General features: G+C 52.8%; 1 protein-coding gene and 1 long non-coding RNA gene across 13 annotated transcripts, besides 5 other annotated features; one reads left to right on the forward strand and one right to left on the reverse strand.

Annotated features, from left to right (window-relative positions):
• On the reverse strand, positions 762–10,823 carry FAM3A (FAM3 metabolism regulating signaling molecule A). 12 transcript variants are annotated; one of them, NM_001282312.2, is made up of 10 exons: positions 10,560–10,823; positions 10,351–10,403; positions 7,414–7,527; positions 6,439–6,462; positions 3,065–3,188; positions 2,880–2,938; positions 2,402–2,452; positions 1,997–2,081; positions 1,794–1,920; positions 762–1,497 (listed from the first exon to the last, which is right to left on the reverse strand). In NM_001282312.2, exons 2-10 carry the CDS (start codon positions 10,361–10,363, stop codon positions 1,402–1,404), a joined length of 693 nt encoding a protein of 230 aa, NP_001269241.1. In that variant the 5' UTR covers positions 10,364–10,403; positions 10,560–10,823; the 3' UTR covers positions 762–1,401. The 12 variants fall into 12 exon arrangements, with proteins under 12 accessions (NP_001269241.1, NP_001164603.1, NP_001350751.1 ...); NM_001171132.3 differs by having other exon boundaries at positions 10,501–10,823; NM_001363822.2 differs by having other exon boundaries at positions 2,402–2,473; positions 10,501–10,823.
• LOC124905229 (uncharacterized) lies at positions 10,071–17,720 on the forward strand. Its single transcript, XR_007068357.1, has 2 exons — positions 10,071–10,306; positions 17,196–17,720. It is a non-coding gene; the product is annotated as an uncharacterized LOC124905229 (long non-coding RNA).
• Positions 10,091–10,714: an enhancer, noted in NCBI's record as "H3K27ac hESC enhancer chrX:153743824-153744447 (GRCh37/hg19 assembly coordinates)". NCBI's record gives its function as "activates a minimal SCP1, AML or CMV promoter by ChIP-STARR-seq in primed H9 embryonic stem cells {active_cell/tissue: H9 hESC(primed)}" and the evidence as "EXISTENCE:reporter gene assay evidence [ECO:0000049][PMID:30033119]".
• Positions 10,688–11,097: a silencer, noted in NCBI's record as "silent region_21113". NCBI's record gives its function as "represses an Ori minimal core promoter by ATAC-STARR-seq in GM12878 lymphoblastoid cells {active_cell/tissue: GM12878}" and the evidence as "EXISTENCE:reporter gene assay evidence [ECO:0000049][PMID:35858748]".
• Positions 10,688–11,337: a biological region, named in NCBI's record as "H3K27ac hESC enhancer GRCh37_chrX:153744448-153745070".
• Positions 10,715–11,337: an enhancer, noted in NCBI's record as "H3K27ac hESC enhancer chrX:153744448-153745070 (GRCh37/hg19 assembly coordinates)". NCBI's record gives its function as "activates a minimal SCP1, AML or CMV promoter by ChIP-STARR-seq in primed H9 embryonic stem cells {active_cell/tissue: H9 hESC(primed)}" and the evidence as "EXISTENCE:reporter gene assay evidence [ECO:0000049][PMID:30033119]".
• Positions 11,313–11,469: a silencer, noted in NCBI's record as "fragment chrX:153745046-153745202 (GRCh37/hg19 assembly coordinates)". NCBI's record gives its function as "represses an EF-1alpha promoter that drives an FKBP-Casp9 reporter gene in an ReSE screen in HepG2 liver carcinoma cells {active_cell/tissue: HepG2}" and the evidence as "EXISTENCE:reporter gene assay evidence [ECO:0000049][PMID:32094911]".
• Positions 17,721–19,310: the final 1,590 nt, after the last annotated feature.

Here is a 19,310-nt window from a genome sequence, read left to right on the forward strand (position 1 = left end):
GGCAGGACTGGCATCACCATCGTTTCCTCCCTGGTGAGCCGCTCCTCCAGGGCACCCCTGTGCCTCCAACCCCACATGTGCCTGCTCCAGAAGCACTTTTGTCTTCTGAGGCTCTGTCTGCGCTCTGTACTCTTCCTGGGATTGGCTCCTAAGTCCATCGCCCCTAACGTCGCCCCATGAAGGACACCACAGTGCCTCCCATCTAGGAACTGCCTTCTCTCCTTTCGCTGAACTCAGACTGCTTCTGGGCCTCTGGAGTTGATATTCCAGCAAAATTGCTTCTAATTTGCTGGCTCTCGCTTAGCAAAGGGAGGTATTAACCGTAACCTGGGAGAGACGCAAAAAGCCCAAGTGACTCGACCCCTCACAACCCTGACTTCAAAGGCAGCCGAAGTCTGTGGGCGACATGTGCTCCTGGATGATGATGGGGTGTGGTGGGGGCCTGGGCTGGTGTTAATCCCAATCCCTGTCCCTGTCCGTACAGGCCTGCACTGGGTCAGAGGGAGTTGTTGAGTCAGCTTCCTGCAGCCCGAGTGTGCAATCTTCTCTGCCAGACGAAAAGAGTCCCACTGCTCTGTTGACTGCTTGAGTCACATCTCAGTCGCAGCGGGGCCTGTTGGTGGCAGGAGCCCTGGAGACAAAAGGCTGTCTGCTCGGGCTGTGGGAGCAGGTTGGTTAAGACTCTGGAATCTGTCCTCCCGCACCCCAGAGGACACCGCCACCTCTGACTCCGCACTGACAACAGCATCTGAAGGCATTTCTTCTGTGGGGCCATCACTTTATTAAGGGGTCATCTAGAAGGTGGGCCCCCTGACAAACCGCGGGACTGTGATCGGGCTCCAGCTACTTCACCACCCCGGGCCAGCCTGCTCCAGGGGTCCCTTCCTGCTGAGAGCAGGCGAGAGGCAGTCAGGCTCATGAAGCAGCCACCGGGTTTGGCTCACTGGAAGGAATCACACTGGAAACATGTTTAGCCCGCAGTGCAGAGTGGCTCCAGAAGGGAGAGGTTCTGGAAGACGCCCCAACCTGCCGGGCTGCTCCCAGAGATGCACAGTGAGGGGCAGGCACCCAGGGCCGTTCCAGGACTCAAGATGGGGATGGAGATGGCGTGAGGAATGGAGGACAGGGCTAGATGGGCTGACCGGGGGGAACAGTGTTACGAAAAGGAGGCGGGTACCCTGGGCTCCCGTGACAAAGTGCGGCAGGGCTACCCCCTGCAGCCCCCATAGCCCCCACCACCTTGAGACCACGTTCTGGTCACTGCCTCGGAGCCCCGATGTGTTGGGGCCAGGGAGCGCTCCTGCCCGGGTGTGGGGTGTGAGCCTCAGCCTCTGTCCGCCCGGCAGCGCGCGTGCCTCCCTTGGTCTGGCCTCCCTCGGCCCGGTCCTGGCACTGGCCGTGCTAGCTGGCCGTGCTTCTCCGCGGGATACAGCCTTCCATCTCCAGCGCCTCGGGCCAGCCTTCGTACTTGTTGCTGTGCTTACTGTTCTTCACGTGCTGTGGGGAGGGGAGCAGAAAGTCATGACTTTGGCCCTCAGGGACAGGGGACAGGAGTGGACCAGGACCCAGGCTGTCAGTCAACTGTGCTGTGTTGGCCAACGGTGTACTCTCAGGGCACTTGGCCCCTCCACCCATCCCAGGGAAACATGGCATCAGCTGCACTGGCCCACCCCTCATAGCTGGACTGGGGACGGTCCCCTGCTGGGGCGTGAGCAGCTGGGGAGGCTCGTCGCATGCAGGCAGAAGGGGCGACAGGCTGCCCCGGTGGGGGTGATGCCAGGCACCCCCCATACCTGCTCAAAGGGGCTCTTGTTCTGCACACCCTTGGCCCCGACAAACACCCAGCTGTCCCGGAAGGCCAGCTCCTTGGCGTTCCTGCTGCCCAGCTCACTGAAGAGCTTTCTGGTCTCTTCATTCATCCTGCAGCATGGGAGGAAGGGGTGTCAGCTGTTGCTGCAGAAGGGCAAGGCTGAGGCTGGCCTCCCCAAGCACCTACTTGGTGGCTGGGTCGTCGTAGGATGCCACGAACACCAGGGTGCCTTCGTGCAGTGGCCGAATAAACTTCAACAGGTCGTTGACATCTGGGGGGGCAGGTGCCACGGAACAGGGGTCATCAGGCACCACTGAGCACCCTCCCACAAGCCCGTTCTCCAAACAAGGAAACAGAAGTAGGGATTGGGCCTGGGACATGCCCCGCCAAGGGACAGGCTGGTGTAGGAAGCTGAGGCATCCCCGTGACCTCCCACAGCCTCCAGACCAAGCTGGCGATGCCCCTGTCCTTTCTGAACCCACGGAGGTGACTGAGAAGCTCCAAGTACAGACAGAGAGAGCAGTGTCTCAGGGGAAGCTGCCCAGGTCATTTTGCTGCAGTCAAAATGCAAGACGCTGCGCTGCAACTCACCTCCGGCCCACATGTCAAAGGCCCGGGCCTCGATGAGCTCGCCGCTGACCCCTGTGTCAGGAGGGAGGGGCCCTGCTGGGTAAGCCAGGCCAGCCTCAGGGCACGGCAGGCGGGTAGCACCGGGGGTGGGGGGCAGCCCTTCTGGAAGCTTTCAAACAGTCCCCCAATATTCATCCATTTGTTCAGGCAGCTGCATCCCACCCCAAGCCGTGGTGCCTCTGTCTGGCATTTGAGGCCCTCCGGGGGCTCTCCATGAAGCACCCTCAACCTCCCAGAACCTTCCCTAGTTCTTTATTGCCATCATGCTTTTTTGTTCATTGGGTCACTCCTCTGTGGAGCCTTGCGCTTGCACAGACTCCTTCCCAGGCCTCCCTGGGAGATCTTGAATGGGAGGGGAAGGGAGGGCAAACACCCAGAGGCCTCCTGGGGAGGGAGCAGGGAAGGAGGGCGGCAGGCCACGCTCAGCCAGGGGCCTCACCGTTCACCAGGGCGATGTTCAGCCCGCGGCCCACGTTGTCCTTGACGCTGCTCATCAGCCTAGTTGGGGGGGGGTGGGGGGGACGGGGAGATCCCACATGGGCACGTCTGCTCCACTCTCCCTTGCAGACCCGGCCCTGGATCCCCCACTCCCTCCCTGATCCCCAGTCACCCCAGGGAGCTCACATCTTGTCCTCGAGGCAGATCTTGGGCCCAATGACGTTGGCGGCCCCGCTGACCACGCGGAAGGCCAGGTGCTCCTCAGGACACGGCTGGGGCAGGCCACACTTGTACTTCCTGGCCCGTGGCGCTGGGCAGGGATAGCAGGTGTTATCCATGGGCCTGGCCCTGAGGTCACCTGAGATCTGAAGGGGAGGTCAGGACCAGCACACATGGTAGAACAAGTGACCGCAGAGCAGGACACAAGTAGGGGGATGTGGCTCAGGCCGAGGCTGGGGACACTTCCATACTCTGTGTCCTACTGGTGAGGCCACAGGGACCCAAGACAGAAGGATTTTCTGTTACTGGTGGGAGAAAAGAAAGGATGCTGAGGGCTGGCCTGGGCCACTGCACAGCCAGGAACAAAGCAGGGGTGAAGTAAGTCAGGCTGGGGGTCTAGCTGCATGGATGAGGCCAACCTGAGCAAAGGCAGTGTGGCAGGGGGTAGTGTGGCAGGGGGTGCAGCCTGTCTCCCGATTTTGATGGGGGTTGGTTGGGAGGACTGGAGCAGGATGGCTTCTATTATGGGTTGAATTCTGTCCCCTCAAGGTATGCTGAAGTTCTAATCTGTGGTACTTCAGAATGTGATGTTTGCAAATAGGGCCTTTGCAGTTCAGATGGGGTCATACTGGAGTAGGTTGGGTCCTTAATGCAACATGACTGATGTCCTTATAAGAACAGAAGTGACAAAGACACACAGAGGGAAGACAGCCATGGTACAGTGGAGGAAGAGACAGGAGTGACACAGCCAGAGGCCAAGGTATGCCTGGGGCCACTGGAACCTGGGGAGGTCAGGAAGGACCCTCCTGTAGAACTTTCAGGGTGAGTAACGCCCTGCTGACACTTTGATTTCAGACTTCTGGCTTTCAGAATGGGGAGAGAATCCATTTCTGTTGTTTAAGCCACCCAGTTGAAATGGCAGTTCCAGGAAATGGATACAGGTTTTGGCACCAGGAAGTGTGGTGCTTAGGTAACAAATACCTAAAAATGTGGAAATGGCTTTGGAACTGGGTAGTCAGTAGAGGCTTGTCTTAGTCCATTTGCTGCTGCCATAACAGAATACCACAGACTGGGTAATTTATAAAGACAACAGATTCATTTGGCTCATGGTTCTGGAGGCTGGGAAGTCCAAAAGCATGGCGCCGGCATCTGGTGAGGGTCATCCCGTGGCAGAAAGGTGGAAGGTGGAAGCAAGCATATGAGACGCAGGAAAAAAGGGGGCTGAACTTCAAGGTAACTAACTCACCCATAATAGTGGCATTCATCCATTCATGAGGGCAGAGCCCTCATGACGTAACTACCTCAAAAAGGCCCTCCTCTCAATACCAATACATTGACAAATTTCAACATGAGTTTTAGAGATGACATTTAAACCATATCAAGGCTATAGAAGTTTGAGGTACATGTTAGAAAAGGTCTGGATTGCCTTTAAGAGACTGTTGGTAGGAGTATGGATGTTAAAGGTAATTCTGGTGAGAGGAGGGGAGAGCAATAGAGACAGCCTCTGTGGTCTTAGAGAATACAAATATCATCAAGAACAGAACGTTGCTAGAAACATGAATGTTAAAGGTGCTTTTGGGTTGGGTGTGGTGATTCACGCATGTGATCCCAGCACCTTGGGAGGCCAAGGCAGGAGCATCACTTGAGGCCAGGTGATCAAGACCAGCCTGGGCAACATAGTGAGACCCCGTCTCTACAAAAAATACAAAATAAGCTGGGTGTGGTGGTACATGCCTGTAATCCCAGCTACTCAGGAGGCTGAGGCAGGAGAATCACTTGAGCTATGATTGCGCCACTGCCCTCCAGCCTGGGTGAGAGAGCAAGACCCTGTCTCAATACATTCAAAAAATAAATAATAAAAAATAAAACATTAGCTGGGTGTGGTGGCACATGCCTGTAGTCGCAGCTACTTGGGAGACTGAGGTGAGAGGATCGCTTGAGCCCAGGAGTTTGAGCTTACAGTGCACGGGGATGATACCACTGAACTCCAGCCTGAGCAACAGAGTAAGACCTCTGTCTCTACCAAAAAAAAAAAAAAAAAAAAAAGGTGCTTTTGGTTAAGCCTCAGAGGAAAATGAGGGACATGTTATTGAGTTATTGGGCGCTGGAGGAAAGCTGATCCTTGTTATAAAGGAACTTGGCCCAGGTGTGGTGGCTCACGCCTATAATCCCAGCACTTTGCGGGGCCAAGGCGGGAGGATCACTTGAGGTCAGGAATTCGAGACCAGCCTGACCAACACGGTGAAACCCCATCTCTACTAAATATGAAAATTAGTTGGGTATGGTGGCAGGTGCCTGTAATCCCAGCTAATCAGGAGGCTGAGGTGGGAGAATCGCTTGAACCCGGGAGGCGGAGGTTGCAGTGAGCCAAGATGGCTCCACTGCACTCCAGCCTGGGTGACAGAGCAAGACTCCGTCTCAAAAAAAAAAAAAAACTTGGTTGAATTGTGTTCTAGTGTTTTGTCGAAAGGAGAATGTGTAAGTGCTGGGTGCTGAACTTGGATATTCAGCTGAGGAGATTTCCAAGCAGTGTTGAGAGCGTAGCCTGACTTCTCCTTGCTGCTTATAGTAAAATGTGAGAGACATAAGGAAGAAACTGTTGAGCACAAAGGAGCCAGAAAGCGAAGATGTGGAAAATTCTTGGCCTAATCATATTACAAAAACTGCAAAAGTGTCCCCTGGACAGAACAGCAAGGCTGTTCAAGCGTTTGCCCCAGAGCTGAGGTATGTGACTCGTGGGTCCACTCAACCCTTTCAGCAGAAATCTACAATGAAGATGGGGTTATCTAGGAAGCGTCTGTGGGAAAACTCTCTGATTTTATAGCTTGGGCCTCTATAACTTGCAAAAGAGACCAACAAGGCTCTTGAGAATCTGACACCAGCAGAAACACTGCCGGCCTGGAGTGAAGGGGGCAGAGATGAGATAAAGGGAAGGAAGGGTGGCCCCGAAGGTGGGGCTGTCTCGTTTCAGAGCATGGGTCATTCCAGCAGGCCCAGAAGAAAGAATCTCAGGCCACAGAGGATTCCCCTCAGGCCTTGAAACCAAATGAATTTTGCCCTGCTGGGCTTTGGACTTGCTTGGGACGGGTGACCTCTTTTTTCCTTCCAAGTTGCCCTTTTGCAGTGGGAGTATCTATCCTAGGCCTGCCCCACCGTCATATTCTGGCAGGAAGTAACTTGGCAGGAAGTAACTTGTTTTGTAGGTTGACAGTGGCAAGCAGCCCCCGTGGACCACCACAGCTGGTTTGGGGAGGAATAAATGGAAAACCGAAGCCCTACGGGACCGGGGGCAGGCAGGGATGTCACAAAGGGGAGGAGCAGGGAGGTGACAGGGGCCTTACCTGCAGTCACCGAGCTCTCTGGACCTGTGGATACAGAGTGGTTTCTGTTAGTGTGGAGCCTCCCGGGGCCTGCGGCAGGGCAGCCTGGCCCTCCTTACACCGCGAAGTGTAGACACAGGCAGTCAGGCTCAGGGGCCGGGGGCTAAGCCAGGCCGACCTTGGCATGCTTCCTGCTCAAGTGTAAGTCATGTTCAGATGAAAAACTCCCTACTCTAGGAACAGGGGGAAATGGAATTAGAAAAACTACTTAGATGACCTGGCCGGGCATAGTGGCTCATGCCTGTAGCACTTTGGGAGGCTGAGGCGGGTAGATTGCTTGAGCCCAGGAGTTTGAGACCAGCCTGGGCAACATGGTGAAACCCCATCTCTACTAAAAATACAATAATAATAATAATAATAATAATAATAATAATAATAATAAGAAGAAGAAGAAGAAGAAGAAGAAGCCGGGTTTGGTGGTGCGCACCTGTAGTCTCAGCTACTCGGGAGGCTGGGGCACTAGAATCGCTTGAACCCAGGAGGTAGAGGTTGCAGTGAACCGAGATTGCACCACTGCACTCCAGCCTGGGAGACAAAGTGAGACACTGTCTCAAACAAACAAACAAAAAAGTACTCAGGTGACCTATTACCAGTCAACAAGGTGGAGAGTCCCCTCTCCATCTCAGAGCCTGCAGGGAGCAACCGGGGCATCACTCCCCATGTTCAGTGGAAGCTCCCTACCCCTTACTCTGGCCCTACTGACTCCAGTTGGGCATATAATTCTAGTGATCAGGTATTGGCTTTCCTAGATGAAGCAACTGGGTGTTGGGGGAGGCTGCGCCTGATGCCAGGAGACAGACTGGGGACAGCCAAAGGTAGCCTGCCAGGGAGGAGATAGAAAACCCAAGTCAACTCCCAACCCAGAGCCTCAACCACAGGCCCAGGTGGCCACCTTGGTGGCCTCCAGAGAAGGATAAGGCGGGGTCCCACACTCACTGGTGAAGAGTTGCTGGATGCGAGGAAAGCCACTGCCAGGCCCACCCAGGAGGATGCTGACCACGATCCATGTGACACCCACACTGACGACTAGGACCACAATGCGGAGAGGGCCTGGAGGCAGGATAGACACAGGGTGGGGTCACCTCAGATACCAGCGAACCCCAGAATGACCCCATAGCCTTGCATGACTGGATCTCCCCTGCCACTTGGGAAGAAGTGGCTGGAGGACAAGGAGGTGGAGACCTGTTGCCTTCTACCAGGGCTGAAAGGGAGACTTGAGCTCCCTGGCAGGTGGAAGGAGGAAATTGAGTTCAAATCCCAAGGCTGCTGGGTTTGGTTTTCCCTGGCGGGTCTGGGAGGGGGCCTTCCAGAACTCTCTGCTCGAGAAGGGCTCCAGCCCTCTTTCCAAGAACCCCCTCAACTTCCTGCCTCTGAAACCACCAATATATTTGGGCATCCACCTGCCCCTGCTTTCCTCCTGTTCTGAGGGAGAAGGGTCCCTACTCCCTTTTAAGACCAGTCCCGGCCGGGCGCAGTGGCTCACGCCTGTAATCCCAGAACTTTAGGAGGCCGAGGCGGGTAGATCATGAGGTCAGGTGTTCGAGACCAGCCTGACAAAGATGGTGAAACCCTGCCTCTACAGAAAATACAAAAATTAGCCGGGCATGGTGGCGCGCACCTGTAATCCCAGCTACTCAGGAGGCTGAAGCAGGAGAATCAGTTGAACCTGGGTGGCGGAGGTTGCAGTTAGCTGAGACCATGCCACTGCACTCCAGCCTGGCGACAGAGTGAGACTCTGCCTCAAAACAAAAACAAAAACAAAACAAAACAAAACCAAAACAACAACAGTCCCGTCATCTGCTGGGACCTGGATTGCAAGCTCCCCAGCCTTCTCTGATTTCTTGTAATAGTGATCACTCTCTCTAGTTCGCTCTTTCTCCTGTATTTTCAACATCTCCAATGTTAAGGAAGCAAAGAAAACACTCTTCTTCAAAACCACATCCCCATCCTCTTTCCCCTAACCTTTCTTTTCCCTGTCAACCCCCTCAAAAGTCATCTATACTCATTCCATCATCTCACCTCCTACTCCCTCCCACCCTACTCCAGTCTGGCCTGGCTTCCACCACCTCACCAAATCAGCTTGTTGCCAAGGCCACTGATGACCTTTGTGGTGTCACCACCCCTGGTGACCTGTCAGCCTTGATCTTCCTTGACCTCTCAGTGGGCTGCCCATGTCCACCTGACAGAAGCACTAACTTCTCTGCTGGCTTTCCGGACAGCACACTCTCCTGACCCAATCTCTCTGGACACTCCTCATTCTCCTTAGTTAGATCGTCTCCTCTACCCTCCCCTTAAAAGCTGGACTTTCCCAGGCTCCCATCTCAGGCTGCCTTCTGGTCCCTACCTGTAGTGTCTTTTTATTTTTTTTATTTTTGAGACGGAGTCTTGCTCTTGCCCCCCAGGCTGGAGTGCAATGGCGCGATGTCGGCTCACTGCAACCTCCGCCTCCTGGGTTCAAGCGATTCTCCTGCCTCAGCCTCCCAAGTAGCTGGGATTACAGGCGCGCACCACCGTGCCTGGCTAATTTTTTTTTTTGAGACAGAGTCTTGCTCTGTTGCCCAGACTGAAGTGCAGTGGCGTGATCTTGGCTCACTGCAAGCTCCGCCTCCCGGTTACACGCCATTCTCCTGCCTCAGCCTCCCTGGTAGCTGGGACTACAGGCGCCCGCCACCACGCCCGGCTAATTTTTTTGTATTTTTAGTAAAGACGGGGTTTCACCATGTTAGCCAGGATGGTCTTGATCTCCAGACCTCGTGATCCGCCCGCCTCGGCCTCCCAAAGTGCTGGGATTACAGGTGTGAGCCACCGCACCCGGCCATGCCTGGCTAATTTTTGTATTTTTAGTAGAGACGGGGTTTCACCATCTTGGCCAGACTGGTCTCGAACTCTTGACCTCAGGTGATCCACCCGCCTTGGCCTCCCAAAGTGTTGAGATTACAGGCGTGAGCCACTGCGCCCAGCTGTCTTTACTTTTTTGAGACGGAGTCTCGCTCTGTCGCCCAGGCTGGAGTTATGCGGTGGCGCAATCTCGGCTCACTGCAACCTCAGCCTCCCGGGTAGCTGGGATTACAGGCACCCGCCACCACGCCAGGCTCATTTTTTTGTATTTTTTTAGTAGAGATGAGGATTCACCATGTTGGCCAGGCTGGTCTCGAACTCCTGACTTCAAGTGATCCTCCCACCTCGGCCTCCCAAAGTGCTAGGATTACAGGCGTGAGCCACCGCGCCCGGCCTGTAGTGTGTTTTTAGATGATGTCATCTACTCCTAGCTCTTTAATTAAGCACCATGTGTCAATGACTTTCTATTTTCTAGTTCCAGCCGTGGCCTCTCTTGAAACCACTCCCTGCCAGCTGGTTCCTCAGTGGCCAGCTCCACCTGGATATGTCCACAAAGTTACCACCTTAGCAAGTCTGAAGTCCAATTCCCGAGTTGTTTCTACTCTCCACCCAGCCCCAACCTATCCCTCCCCAAGGATCTTCATCTTACTTGTCCAGGTGACAGTAGGGCTGTCATCGGGTTCATGTCGAAGCCCACAGCCACTTTTGTCACTTCCCCTCTAAGACCACGCCTCTCCACCTGGACTGCCCACCTCCTCTCTCTCACCACTCATTTTCCAAAAAGCAGCTGGTCTGCTACCTGCGTTGGGAGATACTGACTATACTAATCCTCATGTCATAGCTCGGGGAGCTGACGTCCTCAGAGGTGAAAGGATTTGGTTAAGGTCAAGGAACGAGTGTTTGTGCAGAGTCCTCCATTTCCAAAACCAAACCCAGTGGTTCACCCGGGCCTCTCCAGACACAGATGTCGCGACGCTGGGCCTCCAGCCAGGTGCCCTTTTCAACTCCCTCCCGTTCGCTGTGGAAGCCACCCACCTGCCAACCTCATGTCCACTTCTCCTGCTGGGTTGGGACCGCCGGCAAGTGCACTGTTTGGGGGCAAAGCGGAAGGACAGGTTTGGGTGGGGGTCAGGGGCAAGCCTGTGCGGGACCCCTGCTGGGGGCGGGCGCGATCGGTGCTACGACCTGTTTGTCCAGCCGCCCGGCCAGGCAGGGCTCCTCGGAAACGCGCGGGGAAACCCTGCCTGGCCAGGAGGGGCCTCAGGAACCCGTTGGCTCACGATCTTGCCCACAGGAGCCTCCGGGGCTGGGACGAAGATGTGGTTCTCCTGGGCTCGGGCCGTTCCTCCGGGCCTGGGGGCTGGCGATGCGGGCCGGGCCGGAGATTTCTCTGGCCGTGGGGAGACGTGGGCTCGGTCAGGGAGGTTCCCTGTCAGGCCCGCCGACCCGCTCCGCCCCGGGAGAGGACGCAAGGCCGCTGCGCAGGGTGGCCAGGCAGGCCCGGCAATGGCGGCTAAGGGCGGGGCCACAGCCCGCCGGCCCCGCCCCCGGCAGCAGCTGCGCCGTCTGGCTCCACGCAGGCCCCGCCTCCAGACCCGCCTCTACCGCTCGCGCTGGCCGCCGCATGGGAGGGGCCTGAACCTGTCCCGCCCCGAACCTGTCCCGCCCCTGGATCCCTCGTCGGCCCCACCTCCGCAGTGCGTTCAGGCTGAACCCACCGGCCGCCGAGTGGGAGGGGCCCACGTCGGTCCCGCCCCGGAAGTCTCCCCTCGGCCCTTTCTCGGGTGGGAGAGCCCTGCCTACCCAGGCTTAGAGGGCTGGGGCTGCGCTTGCACCCTGAGGTCAGATTTGTGAGTCGTGGGAAGACGCAGATGGATCTGGGGCAGAATTAGAACCTGTTCCAAAGTTGATCCATGCGCTTTGTAAAGGCAAGGGAGGTACAGAGGCGCAGATAGGGAAGACCGCAGGATCCAGCGTGAGCCTCTGGCTGCCTTTCCTTAGGGTCTGTTTTCTGTCCAGAAGCGCGTTCCTGCTGTCTCTCGTTATCACTTTTATAATGGGACGGGGCGTCTCAAACTATTTCGACATCCTTGAAAACTCTTGCCTGCTCCGCCTGCCTGGTCTCTAACACCCTCCTCCTCAGAGCTGCTCAAGCTGTGTTGTTTACGCCACACCCCACCCTAAAAGCAGAGGAGAATACAACTTTCGGGGGCAGTGGAGGGGGGAGTTTAGCGCTATAACCCGAGGCTTTCACAGCAAACCAGAATTTATTTTGAGGCCTCTCAGGTTCAGCTTTCAAGTCACGTGACTTTCGCGTCCTACACAACTCTTATTTTCACTTGAAAACAAGTGTGACGTCGTGAATTCCCTAACAATAGGAAAAAAGAAGGCTCCAGAAAGAGCGGTGCTTGGCTTTCCCAGCGGCTCCAAATGGTGCCCGGCACCCAGCTGGCTGTATGGACCTGGGGTGGTCTCCGGCCGCAGGCAGACGCGGCCCTTCGGCCTTTCTCCAGTCACCCCAATTCTCCCTGACTGCCTGGCTATCTCCCCTCCGCGCCTGCCCGCACGCTGCCCCCAACACTGCCCGGGCTCCCTCTGCCCATGAGAACACGGGTCAAGCTCCCGTCCCTTCTGCCCTGCCGGCTGCCCCAAGTGCGCCCTGACCACCTACTGCGCTGGCATGGCCGGGGCCACCCTGACAGCTGATCCATCATCTGTCTGGAGAGCAGCAGCAGGGCCCAATGAGAACCACGGAAACCTCCCTGCCCTTTGACCCAACTTACGGGAATCTCCTACCCTTAGGGAAACAATGCAAAATATAGAGAAAGTTTATAGAGCCGGGCATGGGAGAGCCCTGGTTAGAATCCAGCAGCTTCTATACTGGAGTACTCAACAGGGTCAAGGTCCCTTTCAGCTGCCTGCTGCTGGGGCCAGGGCTTTGCATTTGCGTTTTGTCATGGAATTTGACAGCCTCTCAAGTAATTATGGTAACGAATCTTGGGCTCCATGCCCTCCTCAGGGGGGCCCAGTCGAAGAAGCTCCAGGTTACTCACACCCTTGAGCTGCCAGCCGGTGTTTTTCAAAGACAATATTTACATGTTGTTCAGAGCAGGCATTTATGAAAGTGTTGCTTTAATGAGTCCCCCTGAGCATTCCGAGACAACTCTCCCTTCCTTGGGGACACCACGTGGGTGATGGGCCAGAGGCCTGGGATTCAGTTCCACGTCTTCCGTGCTTCCTGGGGCAGCCTTGCAAAAGTCCCTTATTTTCTCTGGGATGGTTTGGATTCCTGTGGGGGTCTGGCCAGCACGGTGACTAGAGCACATGGTCTGTCACCATCCAGGCCAACGTCCTGGGGTACACTCACAGTCATCTGTTCTTCCAGGTCAGCCCTCATAGATCAGGGCAGCTTCAGCAGTTCTCAAATAGCAGATGTTACAAAATGGGGGTGGGCAATCCTGCAGCAGACGTCTCTGCACTTTCTGTTAGAAGGACACCCCAGGTATTTTTGAGCACTGTTCTGAAGACGGAAAAATCCAGAGTATACATACACTTAAAGCTGGGAGGGGCACCTGCCGGGGAGAATGCATAAGGGATAGAAACAAAAATAGAGGGCCGAAGCCTCTGCCAGGCAGAAGACACTGAGTTCTCAGCAAAGAGAACACCTTTCAGTGCTGTGGTCAAAGGGATGTCAAGCCTCCTGAGGCCCGGAAAGAGCAGGAAACTGAGGGCAGAATTGGAAAAAATCAAGTTACAGACACACACCACGGGATAACCTCTATACAGAGAGGAGCACACCCAAAATAATACTATATATTTATAGATGTACTTTTGTATTGGGGTAAGACATATATAACATAACATTTGCCATCCAAATCATTTTAAGTATACGATCCTGTGGCATCAGTTACATTCACAATGTTGTACAACCATCACTACTATCTTTTTGTGTGTGTGTATATTACTTTTTTTTTTTTTTCCCCCGAGACAGAGTCTTGCTCTGTCTCCAGGCTGGAGTGCAGTGGCTCAATCTTGGCTCATTGCAACCTCTGCCTACCAGGTTCAAGCAATTCTCCTGCCTCAGTCTCCTAAGTAGCTGGGATTACAGGTGCCTGCCATCATACCCAGCTAATTTTTATATTTTTAGTAGAGACGGGGTTTCAACATGCTGGCCAGGCTCGTTTCAAACTCCTGAGCTCGTGTTCTGCCGGCCTTGGCCTCCCAAAGTGCTGGGATTACAGGCGTGAGCTACTGTGCCCGGCCATGTATTACTTTTATGGGCTCATATATATGTCCATAGAAATATAGAGTTCTTTTAAAAATTCTATCAATAGATATTTCTTTTTCTCTTTTCTTTTCTTTTTTTTTTTTTTTTTGAGTCAGAATCTCACTCTGTTGCCCAGGCTGGAGTGCAGTTGCGTGATCTCGGCTCACTGCAACTCCTGCTTCCCGGGTTCAAGTGATTCTCCTGCATCAGCCTCCCGAGAAGCTGGAACTACAGGCGTCTGTCACCATACCCGGCTAATTTTTTTGTATTTTTAGTAGAGATGGGGTTTCACTAGTTGGCTAGGCTGGTCTCGAACTCCTGACCTCAGGTGATCCGCCTGCCTCGGCCTCCCAAAGTGCTAGGATTACAGGCATGTGCCACCATGCACGGAAATCAATAGATATTTCATTTCCACCAATACAGAAGCATCAGTTAACAGTGACTGGTTGACACTTTTAGAAAGTGGCTTGAGAAGGGCCCTGAATGAGCCACCTACGTGGAACACAGAATTTGAGATGTGCAAATGTGGAGACCTGAAGGCTTGTTATGGGAACAAAAGGTGGCTGTGTATAGAGAGGAGCGCAGATAAAGGGGACTTATCAGCAGTCGCAGGGAGTTCATGCTCAACAACTGGCAACAAGCGGGGCAGCTACAGGCTACTCAACTGGGGATTGATGCGCGGTGCCTCTGAGGTTCAGCTCTGGGCCTGATCGTCCAAGAAAGGGCAGCTAAGGTGGGCATAGTGAATCACGCCTGTAATCCTAGGACTTTGGGAGGCTGAGGTGGGCATAGTGAATCACGCCTGTAATCCTAGGACTTTGGGAGGCTGAGGTGGGCATAGTGAATCACGCCTGTAATCCTAGGACTTTGGGAGGCTGAGGTGGGAGGATTGCTTGAAGCCAGGAACTTGAGACCAGCCTGGGCAACAAAGTGAGACCCTGCATATATATATATATATATATATATATATATATATATATTTACACAAATAAATAAAGGGCAGCTAGACTCCACAGAAACCATGTTGAAGATTCCTGTGCAGGAAGGGGGTGATAAAATGCAGAAACCTGACCTGACACAGCCAACACATAACTGCATTGCCTCATTTTTCACGATTTTTTTCTTTCTTTTTGGAGAGAGGGTCTCATTGTGTTGCCCAGGCTGGAGTGCAGTGGCGCAGTCACAGCTCACTGCAACCTCTGCCTCCCAGGCTCAAGCGATTCTCCTGCCTCAGCCTCCTCAGCAGCTGGGATTACAGGCATGTGCCACTACTGGCCGGCTAATTTCTGTATTTTTAGTAGAGACGGGGTTTCACCATGTTGGCCAGGCTGGTCTTGAACTCCTGGCCTCAAATGATCCACCTGCCTCGGCCTCCTAAAGTGCTGGGATTACAGGCGTGAGTCACCACGCCCAGCCATTAATTGCCAAGTCTCATTGGCTCCTAGTGTCTTAATCCACATCTGCTAAAGTTGTTTAAGGTACAGCTAAAACATCACCCAGGCTGGGCTCAGTGGCTCACACCTGTAATCCCAGTAATTTGGAAGGCCCAGGCGGGAGTATCACTTGAGCCCAGGAGTTCGAGACCAGCCTGGACAACACAGGAAGACCTTATCTCTACCAAAAATACAAAAATTAGCAGCATGTGGTGGTGCACACCTGTGGTCCCAGATACTTGGGAGGCTGAGGTGGGAGGATCACTTGAGCCCAGGAGGTCAAGGCTGCAGTGAGCTATGATCACACCACTGCACTCCAGCCTGGGCAGCAGAGCAAGGCCCTGTCTCAAAAAAATAAAATAGGGGCCAGGCACGGTGGCTCACGCCTGTAATCTCAGCACTTTGGGAGGCTGAGGCAGGTGAATCACCTGAGGTCAGGAGTTCAGGACCAGCCTGGCCAACATGGTGAAACCTCGTCTCTACTAAAAATACAAAAATTAGCTGGGCATGGTGGTACACGCCTGTAATACCAGATACTCGGGAGGCTGAGGCAGGAGAATCGCTTTAACCTGGGAGGTGGAGGTTGCAGTGAGCCGAGATTGTGCCACTGCACTGCAGCCTGGGTGACAGAGCGAGACTCTGTCTCTAAATAAATAAATAAAATAAATAAATAAATAAATAAGGCTGGGTGCGGTGGCTCACGCCTGTAATCCCAGCACTTTGGGAGGCCAAGTGTAGGGAAAAGAGAGATCAGACTGTCACTGTGTCTACGTAGAAAGGGAAGACATAAGAGACTCCATTTTGAAAAAGACCTGTACTTTAAACAATTGCTTTGCTGAGATGTTGTTAATTTGTAGCTTTGCCCCAGCCACTTTGACCCAACCACTTTGATCCAATCTGGAGCTCACAAAAACATGTGTTGTATAAAATCAAGGTTTAAAAGGGACCTAGGGCTGTGCAGGACGTGCCTTGTTAACAAAATGCTTACAGGCAGTATGCTTGGTAAAAGTCATCGCCATTCTCTAGTCTCAATAAACCAGGGGCACAATGCACTGCGGAAAGCCGCAGGGACCTCTGCCCTGGAAAGCCGGGTATTGTCCAAGGTTTCTCCCCATGTGATAGTCTGAAATATGGCCTCGTGGGATGAGAAAGACCTGACCGTCCCCCAGCCCAACACCCGTAAAGGGTCTGTGCTGAGGTGGATTAGTAAAAGAGGAAAGCCTCTTGCAGTTGAGATAGAGGAAGGCCACTGTCTCCTGCCTGCCCCTGGGAACTGAATGTCTCGGTATAAAACCTGATTGTACATTTGTTCAATTCTGAGATCGGAGAAGAACCGCCCTATGGCGGGAGGCGAGACATGTTGGCAGCAATGCTGCCTTGTTATTCTTTACTCCACTGAGATGTTTGGGCGGAGAGAAACATAAATCTGGCCTACGTGCACATCCAGGCATAGTACCTTCCCTTGAACTTAATTATGACATAGATTCTTTTGCTCACGTTTTTTGCTGACCTTCTCCTTATTATCACCCTGCTCTCCTACTGCATTCCTTTTTGCTGAAATAATGAAAATAATAATCAATAAAAACTGAGGGAACTCAGAGGCCAGTGCAGGTCCTTGGTGTGCTGAGCGCCGGTCCCCTGGGCCCACTATTGTTTCTCTATACTTTGTCTCTGTGTCTTAGTTCTTTTCTCAGTCTCTCGTCCCACCCAACTAGAAATACCCACAGATATGGAGGGGCAGGCCACCCCTTCACCAAGGGGCCAAGGCAGGCGGATCATGAGGTCAGGAGTTCGAGACCAGCCTGGCCAAGAGACCAGCCTGGCCAATATGGTGAAACCCCCGTCTCTACTAAAAATACAAAAATTAGCCAGGCATGGTGGCGGGTGCCTGTAATCTCAGCTACTGGGGAGGCTGAGGCAGGATAATTGCTTGAACCCAGGAGGTGGAGGTTGTGGCGAGCCGAGATCATGCCACTGTACTCCAGCAGCCTGGGCAATAAGGGTGAGACTTCATCTCACCAAAAAAAAAAAAAAAGCAGCTCCACTAGGAAGACTAAAATACTAAAATGATGGTGTGCTAACTTGAACAGTTAGGTTGTACAAGAAAGGACTTGACAGTTCCCTTTCTGATGTCCTCCAAGACATGGGTTCCATTTATATGCACCTTGTTCTTTCCTCAGACCTGTAACTTCAGCCTGGAGTTGAGCAGAAACATGGCTTCCTTGTCTTCAAGTCATTCTTGGGCTTCAGAGCGAAGATGCTGGACCTTTGAACCAACAAGCAGGTTACTGGTACCTTTGCCCTGAGAATACGCTGGTGGTGCTTGTGGCTGCAGTGTTTACCCCGAGATAACTTTGCCATGAAGTATCTTCCTTTTATTATTTTTTCATCGCTCTAGTATATCGACTTTGGAAACAAAAGACATCACTCTATTTAGAGCATTCCTTTCTTAGTAGTGGTATTTCCATTGACAAAAAAATAGTAATTCTGAATTGCCGAAAATGTCAAATCGTAGAAAATGTTGTTAGCCGAAGATTCATCTGATGAATCAGATTTTTCCAAAATAGATGATTCTGATGTTAGTTCTGTTTAGAAATAACTCCAAGTACAGTTTTTATATATTATTTTCACATTGAAAATCAGTCAGATTTACTTCAGCCTCAAAGAGTGTGTTTATGTAAAAATAAATGAGCACTGGCAACCTCCGCCTCCCGGGTTCAAGCAATTCTCCTGCCTCAGCCTCCCCAGTAGCTGAAATTACAGGCGCCCGCCACCACACCTGGCTAATTTTTGTATTTTTAGTAGAGACGAGGTTTCACTATGTTGGCCAGGCTGATCTTGAACTCCTGACCTCAGGTGATCTGCCTGCCTCAGCCTCCCAAAGTGCTGAGATATATAGGTGTGAGCCACGGCACCCGGCTGGCTTTTCAATGGTATATGGGAATGAGCTGCTTGGTCAGCTGGATAAATGTACTGTCAGCCTCAGGACTGCCTGCATTCACCCTGGGAAGCAGTCAAACCCCATGTGATGGGTCATTGGGTCATGAGATGCTGGAACATCACTGTATTGCTGGCTTTGGAGAAAGATAGATTTTTTTTTTTTTTTTTGAGACGGCGTTTCACTCCGTTGCCCAGGCTGGAGTGCAATGGTGTGACCTCGCCTCACTGCAACCTCCGCCTCCCGGGTCCAAGTGATTCTCCTGCCTCAGCCTCCCGAGTAGCTGGGATTACAGGCACCCACCACCAAGCCTGGCTAATTTTTGTATTTTTAGTAGAGACAGGGTTTCACCATGTTGGCCAGGCTGGTCTTGAACTCCTGACCTCAAGTGATCCGCCTGCCTCATCCTCCCAAAGTCCTGGGATTACAGGTGTGAGCCACCGTGCCTGGCCAAAAGGTAGATCTTGTCTCATTTTCCTGCCAGAAAGCTCCCTGAGGCTGAACATCTGAAAAAAGAACTCAGAAAGACGACCCCAGACATTTGCTGTGTACAGCGCTACCCAGAATTATTTGAAGAAAATGTTCAATTTCCTTCTTAATCTCTTCACTGACTCACTGGTCATTCAGGATCATATTGTTTAAGCAGAAAATGTTTGGGAAAAAAAAAAAAAACCACCACCACCACCACTAAAAAATAACAGCACTGGGTGGGTGTGGTGGCTCATGCTTGTAATCCCAGCACTTTGAAAGGCCAATGAGGGCGGATCACCTGAGGTCAAGAGTTCAAGACCAGCTCGGTCAACATGGCAAAATTCTGTCTCTACTAAAAATACAAAGATTAGCCAGGTGGTAGTGCGTGCCTGTTAATTCCAGCTTTTCAGGTGGCTGAGGCACAAGAATCGCTTGAACCAATGAGGTGAAGGTTGCAGTGAGCCGAGATTGTGGCCACTGCACTCCAACCTGGGCTACAGAGTTGGACTGTGTCTCAAAAAAAAAAAAAAAAAAAAAAAAAAAGCAGCAAGACAGTGAAACAACTATTTACGTAGTACTTATATTGTATTAGATACTATAAGTTATCTAGAGATGATTAGATTATTTCAAGTGTATGGGAGGACTGGGGAGTTCTGCACTTTGGGAGGCTGAGGCAGGAGGATTGCTTCAGCCCAGGAGTTCAAGAGCAGCCTTGGCAACATGGCAAGATCCCAACTCTATTAAAAAAAAAATACAAATTTAAAAAGTACACAGGAGGGGCCGGGCACGGTGGCTCACGCCTATAAGCACTTTGGGAGGCCGAGGTGGGCGGATCACGAGGTCAGGAGTTCGAGACCAGACTGGCCAATATAGTGAAACCCCACCT

Source organism: Homo sapiens, chromosome X (assembly GCF_000001405.40).
Source record: "Homo sapiens chromosome X, GRCh38.p14 Primary Assembly".
In the NCBI taxonomy this organism is placed as follows: domain Eukaryota; kingdom Metazoa; phylum Chordata; class Mammalia; order Primates; family Hominidae; genus Homo; species Homo sapiens.